This window comes from Homo sapiens, chromosome 7 (genome assembly GCF_000001405.40).
Source record: "Homo sapiens chromosome 7, GRCh38.p14 Primary Assembly".
NCBI classification, from domain to species: Eukaryota; Metazoa; Chordata; class Mammalia; order Primates; family Hominidae; genus Homo; species Homo sapiens.
Window position 1 is genome coordinate 36,759,322 of NC_000007.14, and position 14,931 is coordinate 36,774,252.

At 44.0% G+C, this 14,931-nt stretch overlaps 1 annotated feature.

Moving 5' to 3' along the window:
• Positions 3,192–4,391: an enhancer, noted in NCBI's record as "MED14-independent group 3 enhancer chr7:36802118-36803317 (GRCh37/hg19 assembly coordinates)". NCBI's record gives its function as "activates an origin of replication core promoter dependent on BRD2, BRD4, P300/CBP and CDK7 cofactors, and independent of MED14, by STARR-seq in HCT116 cells {active_cell/tissue: HCT116}" and the evidence as "EXISTENCE:reporter gene assay evidence [ECO:0000049][PMID:35650434]".

Here is a 14,931-nt window from a genome sequence, read left to right on the forward strand (position 1 = left end):
GGCAGTGGGCTGGATTTGGCCCGTGGGCCATAGTTTGCCAACTGCTGGTCTAAATATTGAGATACTTGCCTCTTTGAAACGCAAAGGAGAGTGCAAGATAGGTAGAATGTCCCTTTTCCCTCCACAGCTACAAGACACTTTGGAAATAGCCCTGATCCTGGGGGAAAAATTTCACACAGGCCTGCTTTGTGCCCTAAGATTTCTGCTGTCCTTTTTTTTTTTTTTTTTTTGTTTTGTTGAGACGGAGTCTTGCTCTGTCGCCCAGGCTGGAGTGGAGTGCAGTGGTGCCATCTTGGCTCACTGCAAGCTCCGCCTCCTGGTTCATGCCGTTCTCCTGCCTCAGCCTCCCAAGTAGCTGGGACCACAGGTGCCTGCCACCAGGCCCGGCTAATTTTTTGTATTTTTAGTAGAGACAGCGTTTCACTGTGTTAGCCAGGATGGTCTCAATCTCTTGACCTCATGATCCGCATGCCTCGGCCTCCCAAAGTGCTGGGATTACAGGCGTGAGCCACCACGCCCGGTCTCTGCTGTCCATTTTAAACTTGCCACTCCTCATACTGGTAAGGGACCACTTGGCTTAGCCCAGGAACCCTTTGGAAGCCTTCCTTGACCCCACAGGTGGCTGAGAGCTCATGTGTCCCCCTTCCGTCCTATGTCTCTGGCTGCCCTTGCCCTGCACCCCATATATGACAGCTGTTCTGGCCAGCAGCTGCTCAGGGGTCTTCCTGCTCAAAAATTTCCACCACAGCCAGAGAGAAAATCATTTGAAGTCTCAAATTTTATCTTAGGAGAAATAAATTTTAATTCTGCATTCTACTCTATGATACTTACTCTAATATAAAAAATTAATATGTTTTCCTCAGAAAAGTATTCTAGTAAAATCCATGCTCCGTGAAGAGCTGTTCTTACTTGGTTCAAATATCAACCACTGGCACAATGCCACTTAGCCTATTTCTGGAAGCACAGGCCTATGTGATAAATTTGAAAATCCTGGCACTTAGCGCCCAGCAAATCCAGTCCCAGCCTCTCTTTCCAGACTCTCTTCCAACAATTTTTCTTCTGCCTATAGATACCAGGCCAGGTGGCCACCACTCCTGAAAGCCTCCATGATCTTTTAAGCTGATGTGATTTTTGTTGCCCATGGGATAATAATGTTTCTTTTCTTTCTTTTCTCTTTCTTTCTTTCTTTCTTTCTTTCTTTTTTTTTTTTTTTTTTTTTTTTTGGACAGGTTGTTACTCTGTAGCCCAGGCTGGAGTGCAGTGGCAGCAGCCTCAACCTCCTGGGCTTAGGTGATTCTCCCACCTCTGCTTCCTGAGTAGCTGGGACTACAGGTGCATGCCACCACACCCAGCTAATTTTTGTATTTTTTTTTTTTTTTGTAGCGATTGGGTTTTGCCATGTTGCCCAGTATTCTCCATGATATTTGACTCCTGTTGTATACTCCTTGGTGTAATCCCTTCACCTCAAGGGTGGACAGGACTTGGCACTTCCTTCTATCCCACAGAATATGGCAAAGGTGGCAGACGTCACTTTTAAGTTTAAGACTCCTTCACACTGTTAAACCCATCCTAGAGGTGCTTCTGGCTGGCTCAATGAAGTAAGCAGCCACACTGGGGGGTCCATGTGGGAAAGACTGTGAGTGGCCCCTAGTTGCTAAGGGCAGCCTGTGGCTGACAGCACAAAGCCCAGAACTCAGTCCCGCATCTCCTTGGCTATGAACTCTGTGGATAACCTGAGTGAACTTAGAAGGGGATCTCCCCCAGAGCCTCCAGGAAGAAACGTAGCCCAGCTGACACCTCCATCCCAGCCTTGTGAGACCTGAGGCAGGAAATCCTGCTAAGAGGTGCTTGGATTCCAGACTTGTGGAAACTGTGAGACAATAAATGTATGTTGTAAACTGCTACATTTCTGGTAATTTGTTATGCTGTAGTAGAAAACTAAGGCCCTCCCTTCCCCCAGTGGACTGTGCCCTGACAACTGTGCTCTGTGTGAAGGGCATGCTCGTTAAATACTCATCCCAGGAATTCTTAATGAATGAATGAAGCTTATAACACTCCACACCACATCACATACAATTCATGAAAACGTTGGAGGCAGAACTTCAGCATGAGCGAAGTATCTGTTTTTTAGTTTGTTTCTTTTCCCACTTCTCCATCCTCATCCCCATGTTAATATAAACAACAAGGTTACAGAAATAAAAATAGAAAACCAAAACAGTAGAAAAAAAATGGAACACCTATTTGCTAACCCCCATAGCTAGCCTAGTTGTTAATGATTAACCAAGTCACTTAAACCTGAGCTTCCTGGCAGCCTGGTGAGGAAGGAGAAAGTTTATGAATTCCATGGTTCTCGACTGTGGGATTAGGAAGTCCAGATCAGGTCTTTAGGGGGGCACAATATTTTGCACTGGATCCGTTTTTTTCTTCTTTTTTTTTTACTACTGCCCTTTGGAGCTTAGAACATGGTCTGTAAAAGTGAGCTTTCTCTAGGCAGGGCTGGCTTATGCTGTGGTATGAGAATCTCTGGAAGTTGATTGAAAAAGATTATGTATATGTTGAGAACTGCAGAACTCTGGGCACCTAATGACTCAGTACAAACCTCTGTACTAAGAGATGACCCAACTCTAGCCTGGCTTCTAGCGTCCCTGTCCATAGGATGCCCCAGCCCCTACTTAAATGCCTGCCTGAGGAAGCTAAAACCTGCCAGGAGAATTTACTATTTGTTCAAGCCAACACCTTATGTTAGGTTCCTGACTCTTTCCTTAGAGCATTTACAAGGAAGGGCTTAGACTTGCTCATTCTACATGTGCAATATGAAAAATATAGTTAATAACTGTGTATTGTATTCAGAATTTTTGCTGAATGAGTAGATTATAACTGCTCTGGGGTGGGGACTGATGAGCAACTGCGTGAGATGATCAAACGTTATTTTGTTTCACTGTAGTAACCATGTTACTATATAGTATCTCATAACATCATGTTGTGTACCTTAAATATACACAATAACATTTATTTAAAAATAAAAACAAAAAGGGCTTACATTTGTGAATATGCATCTCCTGTAACTCTGAAGTATCCTTCTCAAGGACCCGAAAGCCATTACTGTGAAAAGTCATCATCAGGAAGGCTAGGGCCCCTGTCCCCCATCTCAGTAGGTGGGTAGAATCCTAACTTGTCAACTCACAAACACAGCTGGCCCAAAGGCATTAATGCTGGCCAACCCTTCGCAGTTCTTTGCCTCTCTGAATCTGCTGAGCCCCTGCTTACCCCCTCCCTACTCCCTCACTCCCTTTGCAATCCCAGTCACCTCTATGCAAATCACAATGGAGTTCAGTTCTTTCTCCTCCCATCAGTAATTACTGAATAAAATCTGTTTTCACTGCTTTAACTAACATCTAGCTGGGTCTGTCTTTGACAATGTGTATATGTCTATGCATTTGTATGTGAGATACACATGTGATTTTAAAGGAGACCCAAGGAAGAGCTCCCAAACCCACCTGGGAGCCTGGAAAGGCTTTCTGAGGGTCCTAAGCCATGTCATGGAGGTTTGCTACCAGAGAATCCAGGAGAAAAAAACACATAAATGCTGGTAGTCAAATTCCGTAAGGAAATAAACCCAGCTTTTTGTTTGTGTATTTGTTTTGTTTTTGTTTTGTTAAGCAGATCACCTTGATGGGACAATTTGGCCTATCCAGGCAGGATCAACAAGAGGAATTCAAGGAGAAAGCAAATTGTTTTGCAAATAGAGTAAGATATGTTTTGCATTTCCAAAGGCAATGCAAGAAGGAAGGACAAACGGAGGTGGGAACAGGCTCAATCCAAGACGAGGTGAGAAGAGCTAGGGAAGACAGAGAATCCAAAGAGGGCAAGAGGCAGTGTGTATCCTGTACGCCAGTGCCCCAGCTTCTAGCTATATTTTTGTCCCCACCAGGCCTGAAGCATGACTCAGCACTTAATTACATTCCCAGAGGAAAATCCACCTCACAAGCATGACTGGTGATTTCAGTGGAAGAGTCAGAAGAAGCTTTTACATCTCGCACAGTCCTCATCAATTCCTTCCTGATCTGTCCTTTCATCTCAGTCCCCACTCAGAGGCTCTGCCTGCTGGAGAGAGGAGTGGGAGAAATGTCCTTCTTCAAAGCCAGCTTCACAGGCCCATAGCCGTTGAGGTTGCATAGGGCCCCAAGCTGAAAGAGCCCCATTTAAGATTTAATGCTGTGCTCATGCCCTCTTAAAATTATTGCTGAACTCTGCTCTGTAAGTGAAGTCCATGGGGCAGCAGCACATGCGCAGGAGCATGGAGGAGGCGTAATATGCATGTCAGCTGCTCTTTGCTGCCCATTCCCATAGAACATTTGCAATGCCCCAGCAGCAGAGGATGGATGCTGGCGGTGAGAGGTGAAGCCGGCTGGGCTTCTGGGTGGGGTGGGGACTTGGAGAACTTTTCTGTCTAGCTAAACGATTGTAAACGCACCAATCAGCACTCTGTGTCTAGCTAAAGGTTTGTTACAGACCAATCGGTCTGTAAAACAGACCAATCAGCTCTCTGTAAAATGGACCAATCAGCAGGATGTGGGTGGGTCCAGATAAGGGAATAAAAGCAGGCCACCCAAGCCAGCAGCGGCAACCCGCTTGGGTCCCCTTCCACGCCGTGGAAGCTTTGTTCTTTTGCTCTTTGCAATAAATCATGCTGCTGCTCACTCTTTGGGTCCACAACACCTTTATGAGCTGTAACACTCACCACAAAGGTCTGCAGCTTCACTCCTGAAGCCATAGAGACCATGAACCCACCGGGGAGGACCAGACAACTCCAGACGCACTGCCTTTAAGAGCTGTAACACTCACGGCGAAGGTCTGCAGCTTCACTCCTGAAGTCAGTGAGACCAGGAACCCACCCAGAGGAACGAACAACTCCAGACGCGCCGCCTTTATGAACTGTAACACTCACTGCGAAGGTCTGCAGCTTCACTCCTGAAGTCCGCAAGACCACGAACCCACCAAAAGGAAAAAACTCTGGACATGTTCGAACATCAGAAGGAACAAACTCCGGACACACCATCTTTAAGAACTGTAACACTCACCACCAGGGTCCGCGGCTTCATTCTTGAAGTCAGCAAGACCAAGAACCCACCAATTCCGGACCCAGTGGTTCCATGGAGTGTGGAGGTTCAGCAAGACTCAAAGTGAGAACGTCACCAACAAACTGAGTATGTCACCAACAAACTAAATTCTTTCCCAAGTTGATGTCGGTCTCAAAGAAAGAATATCCAATTGGAAAAGGCCGTCAGGTTTCATTCACTGGCCAGAGAATGAAGAACGTGATCTCTTGCTCTAAATGCACCTTCTCCCTAAACAATAGAAGGCGTGGGGTTGTGAAGGACTGGGTACAGGGAGGGAGAGGCATTGTTAGCATGTGGAGGGTGGGACTCCAGACACCCAAGCTCAAATTTATAAAAATTTCTTCATATATCACATGTACACAAAATGGTAGAGATTTTCTTTTAGGGGAGGGAATTTTAACATTATTATGATATGTTGATGACCCAAAGGCAACTAGGGGTCGTCTATTCCTGTTTGTGCCAGTTTGGGAGTGTTAGCTCCCTCTGGTATCTAGTCAGGGGTCAAGAAGCTCTGGCGCCATCTCAGGCCATTCGGTTTCTTTAAGCAGCTGCGCTTGTAAATTAAGGGACTAAGGAAAAACAGTAAGAAAAAAAAAAAAACTTTCCCAGTTATTTCATCAGAGCTGCCCTGGTAACAAGTACAAAGAGAATGCATTGGGTCTGCCAGTGAAGAAGCAAGCCACTGACAGCCCCAAGAAACCACACTTTCCCTTCAAACCAGTACTTGCTTGCAACACAGAAAAAAGGCAATGTTACTCTAAGAAACAACCAAGAACCCTATCATATCCTTTCTAACTCGTGTGATATCAGAGCAAGATAAGACTAGGAGAAATGTCTTTCAGAAACCCCAGGGGATATTAGTGGGGACGGAGGTGGGAGAGGGAGAGCTCTGAAACGTCCCCTGAGTATAAGGGAATTTCAGCCTTTAAAATTAAATATCAAGGAACAGGGAGCCTCCAGCTGGCTAGAGGACTCTCAGCAGTAAACACCTGGGTTACAATTGTGTCATGATCCCTAGAAAGAGGGGCAATATTATCAAAAGTCAGTTCTGCTAGTTATAGGAACACTGGCTGCTGAAACAGATAACTCCTACACATAATAAAAGTTTATTTTTCACTGGGGTAGAGTCCCAAATAGATGGTCCTGGTCATCAGCAGGTGTTGCTCTCCCAAGTGGTGATTAAAGAACCTGGACCGCTGCCTTCCTATGGCCCCACCACCCTTATTCCGTGGCTCTCCAAGTTGCTGTGGTCCTCTGCTGTAGTCTGTAGAAGGTGAAGAGCTTGGAAGATCTTGTGTAGGAGGTTCTTATAGGTCAGGCCTGGGAGTGGCCCGCATCACTTCTGCTCACATGCTATGGGCTAGAACTCAGTCACATGACTACACCAATAGCAAAGAAGGCTGGGAAATGTAGTCTTTCTGGTGTAGCCCAGAGGAAGAGGAAATGGGATCAATGAATACTAGCCAGTGAAGAAGTAGGGAAGGCATCCCAACAGAGGGAACGGCATCAATAAAGGCATGAAGGGAAGAATGCTATGGTGTCAGCAGGGAATTAAAAGCTACTTTAGGGTTGTCAGAGTGTTCCGAAAACAGAGAAGTTACCAATGGAATGCCTTTCGTCTAGCACTCGGGCCATCTCTCTTGTATACGACTAGCCATGGTTGGAGCATTTTAATGTGAAGAGTGTAATGAATATTTGTATACTGGCCAGGGGAGTGGTGTGGGGCAACTGCCTTTCCTCTTCTCTTCCCTGCCTTCAAAGTATTAAGATAAGCCATAGAGTGGGTGCAGGGAAGAAGAGGCGTGGAGTAGGGTGATCAGGCTGTAGCCTGGTTAAGTTCTTAAGCTACAATGCTTAAGAACATCATCTTGTGCTTCTGGATAGCTTGCCATCACTGTCAATCAGACAGAAACTTGGAGCTGACACTTCAGGTATCAAGAATTAGCATTTGGTTGGCAAGTTCTTTGTCTTCCTTTCCCCCAGGAGCTTCATGTGCACTATTGGTGACTGGACACAGAAAATGGAGGCAGGACTGGTTTTAACATGACTACCAGCAGCCATGTTACTAATCTAACTGTTCTCTCAGGTACACCCACCTCCTGCTAATGGCTTCCTCAGGCTCTTGCTGTGCTGTTTTATTTCTTCTTTCAAAATGCCTAGAGAAAGAGCCTAGAGCTTTCCAGGGAAATAGTGACATCCTCTGGGAACACGATCCATGGCCAGTGTGAGGTGTATTATAAGGTAAAGGAAGCAGCCATCTGCATTAACTAAGTCTAGCCAAGGAAATTGTTTCTGTCTGCCTGTGCTTGACAAATCAATTGATCTGTTACACTGTTCCCTGGATTTTCTGAGAGCAAGCTCTCAGCTTTTCTGCACAAATATATCCCAGTATTGAACTCAAGTAATAGACAGAAGGTTATCAGTGATTATAAGAGAAAAGAGCCTTTCTATGACATCACTTCTCAGCTCGAAATTGCTCTTATCTGAGCAGTTTCCTGCGTCTTTACACAAAGCATCCCTTGTTTAGGGATGCTGTCTCTCTTGTTCCTTACAGGTTGCACAAAGTGAGCTGCTAAAGAACACTAGCTACAGCCACCACCTTCCTTCCAGACTGTTTTTTATTGCCCTGTGGCTCACTTCATGATGTTCATACAAATCCTTCTCAATGTCCACTTCTGCCCCCGTCATACTGCAACCAAAATGTCCCAAAGCGACATGAACTGATGCTTCATGCACTTGTGGGAAGGGCTGGCTTCATAATTTGCAGGGCTCAGTGCCAGATGAAAATGTGGGAGCCCTTGTTCAAATAACAGGAAAAAGTCCCATCCAGGGTACTAACTAAAATACAGATCTCATTTCTCTTTCTTCTGCAGTTTCTCTCTGGCCTTGCCGTGATGTTTGTTATCTCTTTGTTTAATATTATTCTAAGGAAAGAAAAATTAAACCCTTAAATTATTAGCTTGAATTTTCTCATTCATATTAGTATTGTGCAATATAATTTAAAATGCAATTATGAGGTTTAAATGCAAATATAAGGGCACTTAACTCTTATATGGAATCACCAAAGCCACACAATTCCTATTTCCTATTTCATACATTCATATATGTTTATTCTCTCCAAAAGAGTGAAAACGCTGCACAAAAACAAAACCCTCATTCTTTTTGTTTCACTTCTTCATGTGCACACCTGCTACCAATACACTCTGCCTTTGGCTTACTGATGAGGAAGGAAGGACAGAAAGGAAAGATAGGAAATGGCCTGTCTTTCCCTTTCCTTCTATGCCATCATTTTCAGTACATGGTTGGCGACTACAGGGAGCTAACAAAAATAAGAGAGGCCATGGCAGGATTCCTTGGTCATTCATGTTTTTCAGGATACCACTGCCTCCTTTCTGCATGTGAAGAAAGCTCTGGCTGGAACAGAAAGCACAGCCTTCAGGACTCCTCAGGCCCCCCACTCACTCAATTGTACACATAACACACTGACCTTGAACTCCCTTTGAGTCCTGCTGAACTCCAATGCATATGGGCCAACCAGGATTCTATACTCATGGTGCATCTCAAAGGCACATGGGGTGGTGAGGACCAGGACCATGCACATGATAAAAAGTCTGTTCTGCTCATTGCCCATGCTCTATTGCCCCATTGGACTTCATTTACAAAACGCAAGCTCAAAGAAAAAAAAAAATTAGAAATTTCAGGATGGCTATGGCACAGCACTAGACAAAGTGTGGGGCCCTTCTGAGGCTGGCCCTGGGTGACTGCATAGGTCACTTGCCTGTGAAGCCAGTCCCGATGGTGGACCACTCCGAGACAGAAATAAACTACATTTGGATAGCTAATCCTGCGGGCCTGATTTTCTCCACCAGAATTTTGACAACGGTAGTCAGATAGGACACATATAGATCTTACATTATCTGGGAGGATTTTGAATTATTGGATCATAACCGGGAATGAAAATCATAACCAGTTATGATACTGCTAACTTAGGTGCCATTGTATTCAAAATTCCCTAAAGACCATCCATGGGGTGTTGATACTAAGTCTATCAAAGAACTGGTGAAAGCCTTAGTCTGTATTACGTGGAATATGGTCTGGTCTGTCCCAAACTATATTTTGGTCTCTAAAGCCCTACTCCTGTCTTGTTCCACAGCAGTTACTGGCAGCTTAACCAGAAGGTTAATTCAGATCGATGTGTTTCCCTTCTGTATTCCTTTTTGCATACTGGCTCATCTTCCAAGATCCATCACTCAAACTATGCTCTATCTATGGAAACTGAGTTTGAATGAAAGTATAAAATGGAATTAATTCCTAGAGAGAAGTTAGATTCTGGCAGGAATGCTTTTCCATTTTTAGGCTGCTTGAGAATCACGTGTAAATTATTATTGGTATTCTAAATGACTCTGAATCACTTAAACAAAAGAAAAAAGGAAGAAAGACAACATTACCACAGGAGTCAGGTAGCTCACTGAGTTGGAGAAAAAGCTACCAACCAGAATTTTTAAAGTGCAGGAGCAGAACAGCTCCTGTGGATTTAAGAGGAAGAACTTGAGGATGGTCAGTTTTGACAGTGCCATTGCAATACCTGCTACACCATCTCTCCTTCTGGAATTAAAATTCCCTGGACAGAGAGAGAAAGAGAATTGATCTAGCTGGGTAGAGTGGTGGGCTTGGCTTGCAGATGTCTCAGCTGGAGAGTGGCATATTTGATTTTCTCATGCTATGATTAATGGCGAAAGTTTAATCTCCCTGTTTTAGTCTGCTAGGACTGCTATCACAAAATGCACTGATAGCACATAGTCTACGTGGCCTAAACAACAGACATTTGTTTTATTAATGGGTATTTATTTTCTCAATAGGCATGTGTTTTCTCAACAGACATTTACTTTCTCACAGTTCTAGAGGCTGAAAGTCCAAGATCAAAGTGTTGGGAGGTTGGTTTTCTCGAGGTCTCTCTTTTTGATTTGCAGACAGCCACCTTCTTGCTGGCCTCACATGGTCTTTCCTTGCTCTGTGCACATCCTTAGGGTCTCTTCTTATTCGTACATGGACACTCATCATGTTGGATTAGGGGTCCAGCCTTATGACCTCATTTTACCCTAATTACTTCTTTAAAGGCTCTATCTCCAAATACAGCCCCGTTGAGGATTAGGGCTTCAGTATACACATTGTATGTACAATTCAGTGCAAAACACCTCCCAGATAAAATGTAATGTTGTCACCGAATGAAGGAGAAAGGCCTGCCAGGCAGGCAAGAGCAGCAGGTGCCCTCAACCTTGCTCCAAGATGCTTGCCCCACCTGGGCTATTTTTTTTTAACTGATGTTATTTTTCTTAATGGCATAAATGTATTAGGGAAGGGGGAGGAGATCTAGGAAACTAAAGGAGTGAAGGTTCTTTCCAGTTAACCTCAGATCCATTCATTTCCCCAAGCTTCTGCTGCAATACTATGAGCTAAATGAAGGGGAAGGAGGTACTGAGCAAAGTGGGTAGGGAAAGGATGTGGGGGTGAGAGTATTCAGGATAACTTGGCTAGACTGTGAGCCACTTCAAGTGTTGGTCAGATTTCCGTAGAGAATCCTCAGGTTAAATAATACAGCAATACTTTTTTGAGATTCACTAGACATAAAAACCAAACAAAGTCTTCACTGTCTCTCTCTCCTTTGCTGACATAAATGAAACCTCTCCTGATGCCTCCCTCTTCCTCTCCTCATTCTATACCTGGGCTTTTTCTAACTCTTAAGGCATCTAGAAAATTAGAGACTCATCACTAGCATATCAGCAATTAGGTTTTCATTATTCTGTATGTCTCTCCTATTATCCACAATTCATTATTTTCATCTATAAATGTATATTTATTGAACACCTCCTTTGTACCAGGCACTGTTCTAGGTAATTTGGATATGTCTGAGAATAAAACAAACAGGTGAAGATGCCTGTGCCAGGAGGGTTTACTCTCTAGCAGAAAGACATAGAATATATCACAACATAAATATAGGTAAATTACATATGGCCGGTGATGAGTGCCATGGTGGAAAAGTAGAACAGGATAAGGGGGATGGGGAGTGCTGGGGCCTGGCAATGTGTTGATTATATTAGAATGCTCAGGGTGGGTGGACCTCTTGGTGGGGATGATGTACTGGAGCACCTCCACTAGCCCTTCCAGGTCCATTCTCCTGGGATGATGGTCTATACCGGCTGCACCATGAGCCCTCTTGTTCTGGGCCTCTGGCTTCCCATTCGGTTGAGCCAATGGATGACACTGGTAGAACTCTGAGTAGCACACTGAGGTCAGAGTATTAATTCTAGCAAAAGAGAGCTTCTGCCCTCAAGCTCCTTTCTTCCTAGGCCACAGGTTAGCAGTGGTTATAATCCTCACTGAAGGTTACAGCTCTTTCTGGGTTACAATAGCTGTTCCCTCCCCCTGGGTTCAAATTAATGCTCCCCACTATTGCTAATACCATGTGATTCCCTACCTCTTCTTGGTTTCCATTAAGTCTTCCCATACCTTTGTAAAAAGTCCCTTTATTGCACTCTCCAATTACCTCATTTGAATGTACTATCTGTTTTCTGCTGGAATCTTGACTTACATAGTAATTAATATGGAGAGGAGTGGCCCCAGGGTACAGCCTCTCAAAATGAGATTCTGTGATTGGGTTGCCCATATTTGAGGAATGCACAGATAACCTTGGGAGGAGAGGGAAAGGGATAAGACACTGGTAATCCATTGCATGCAAAAGCATATCTTTTTACCTAGTTCTTATTCTTTTTTTTCTCCCCCAAACTATAGTGAGAATCAATATGCTCAAGTGGCAGACTCACATTAGCTCCCTACCCTGCAGAATGAGGATTATATCCATAAGAGGAACCAAGTGGAAACCCCAAAGTAATAAACCCAAAGCAAGATGGCATCTCTAGAGGAACTGCAAATATAAAGGTCACCATCAGAGTCTTGGGAGACGCGGATTATTCCTATCACACCTCCATTTAACTAGTCTCTTTGGCCAGTACAAAAGCCAGATGGGTCTTAGAGAATAATTACAGATTGTCCCAGACTTAATCAGGTGGGCATGGCAATCACAGCTGAGGTTTGGGATGTGGTTTCTTTATGGGAGCAAATTAATAACCGTTCTTGGCACCTGGTTCTCAGCTATTGATTGGCAAAAGTTCTCAATAAACAGGTGGGAAAGGTGGCTGTCAGCCAGCCTCCTTCCTTGGCCACACTGGTGCTTGTTCAATAAGCCAACATACAGAGTGGCCACAGGGACAAATCAGTGGACTGATTTGGCTACAGCCACTACTGACTGCCCAGGGTTCCAACAGCAGAGGCCAACTTTGAGTCCCTAACAAAGCCCCATTCCATGAAATGGGCAGCGATTCATCCTCACAGGAATAGATGCATATCCTAGATACACATTTGCCTTTCTTTCTCAGAATTCTTCTGCCAGCATTCTCATCTGTGGACCTACAAATACTTTGTCCATTTGATATTGTATCTCACAAAATGTTACCACCATCTAAGGTTCTTATTTGCTGGCAAAGATGTGGTAATGGGCTCTTGCCTTTGACATTTGCTACTCTCTCCAGTCACCCAGAAGCAGATGGCTTGGCAGATCAATGGAATGGCCTGATGACAATCCCTTACAAGAAAGTGTCTTAAACCAGCAGCCAATATCTGGTGCCATCTTCTCTGTAACCAGAATGCATGGGCCTAGGAGCCAAGGAAAATGAGAGTGGCTTCGGTAATGTTTGATCTTATCCCAAGAATCTCAAGATTTCTGCCATAGGAAGGAATGTTCTACCAGTAGACAAAGTCAGTGTTCAATTAAACTGGGAGCTGAGCCTACTTCCCTGCCACTATGGGGCTCTTCTTGGCATCAAACTAACAAAGAAGGGAGTGGTGGTTACTCTACTGGCTGGGGTAATTGATGCAGTGAACTTGTCAAACCAACTTTATAATAAGTTCATAACCAACTAAATAAATGTTTAAGCAAACTGAAGCCATCAATGTAACATAAAGGAGATGATTAAATGTAAATTTATCAACAAGAATTTCTTCAGGAAGCAGAGGACAAAAGTCTCAATAGTTAGCAGGTAATTACCCTATTCCTACTCTTCCAAGAGAAGAGTCAGCCAAGATGTTCTCCCATCATGGCACACTTCTTTTGGAATCACGGCTTTTATAGCCATATCTGTAATTTGTTCTTTATTTCTATATAATTTTTATTCACAGCCACATCAGGGTTTGATGATTGGCCCATAAAATAAACACCATGCCAAGAACCTACAGGCTTTAGCCAAGACAAAACAGTTGCCAAATTTCTTGTTTGGGAAGAAGGCAATTTTTTCCCCTCTATTTGTAACAATATTTTACTGCTCTCTATTGCAGGATGTTTTAAGCACCATGATTCTGCAATAACACTGCACTGACTTGACATTAGCAGAAACGATCACCAAATCCCCTGGCCTATTGGATGTGTCAGATATGGTGCCTACCAGACATAGAGTGATTGAGCTTCAATAGTGTCAAGGTCATGGGGTCAGGAGCGGTGAAACAGTGTCAGCAAAGCAACAGTATGATTTGGTAGCAGGGCTGTTGCTCATCATTGGAGGCAATCAGCTTAGCAAGGCAAAGACTGGCTGTCCTTTGTCTGAGGGTACAGAAAGGTATCCAGAAACTCTGCAAAGTTTCATTAGGAACCAAGGGCAAGGGAAACTTGTGATCATACCAGCTAGGATAGACCTATGGCTGCAGTGGTTTCAATAGTCACCTGAAGGCTACTGTTAACTTTTAAGCTGCAGCTACCTGTTCAGCTCTGCCTTGCTTGGTTAGATCCTGTGAATTTAAATGGTCTTCACTGATTGTGTTCTTACTGCTCATGTCTTTTGGCAAAAGCAGTATAGCCAGTTGGGTGGAGCTTGGGTTAAGCGTATACATCCTAACTTTGGCATCTACTACATGTGGGACCTAAGGCAAGTTAGATAGTCGTTCCACAATTCTCAGTTTTCTCATAAGAAAAACGGGAATCATACTGTCTACCTCATAAGGATGTTGTAAGGTTTAAAGGAGACAATGTTCATAAAACACCTTAAATAGTATGTAGTGCCTATCAAGGCTCAATTAATGGTGATGATGATGATAATGAAGGCAGTTTCGCCAGGGTACAGAGGAACATAAGATTCAAGCAGCCTTGGGCCTTGTATCCATTTTGAGGCATTTTTAATTAACTGGGCTGGGAAAAAACTACACTAAGAGACTCTAAGATGGTAAAAATGAGAAGTATGCACTAGGAGGATAACAAAGCATTCGTATGAGAGGAGAAAGACATATAATACATGGCAAGAATCCTCTTGGGGAAATAACCAAAATTAAAGAAACAGGCCGGGCGCGGTGGCTCATGCCTGTAATCCCAGCACTTCGGGAGCCTGAGGTGGGCAGATCATGAGGTCAGGAGATCGAGACCATCCTGGCCAACATGGTGAAACCCCTTCTCTACTAAAAATACAAAAATTAGCAGGGCGTGGTGGCACGCACCTGTAGCCCCAGCTACTCAGGAGGCTGAGGCAGGAGAATTGCTTGAACAAAAGAGATGGAGGCTGCAGTGAGCCAAGATCGTGCCACTGCACTCCAGCTTGGGCGACACAGTGAGACTCTGTCTCAAAAAAAAAAAAAAAATTAAAGAAATAGAAGAGGAAGCATAAAAGGAGAGAGAGACAGAGAGGGAGGGAGGAGTGGCTAGGAAGATAGTCTGAAGGGTACTTCCAGTTCCAAGGGAAAAGTGATTTAAAGAGAAGATGTTAATAGAGAGGTC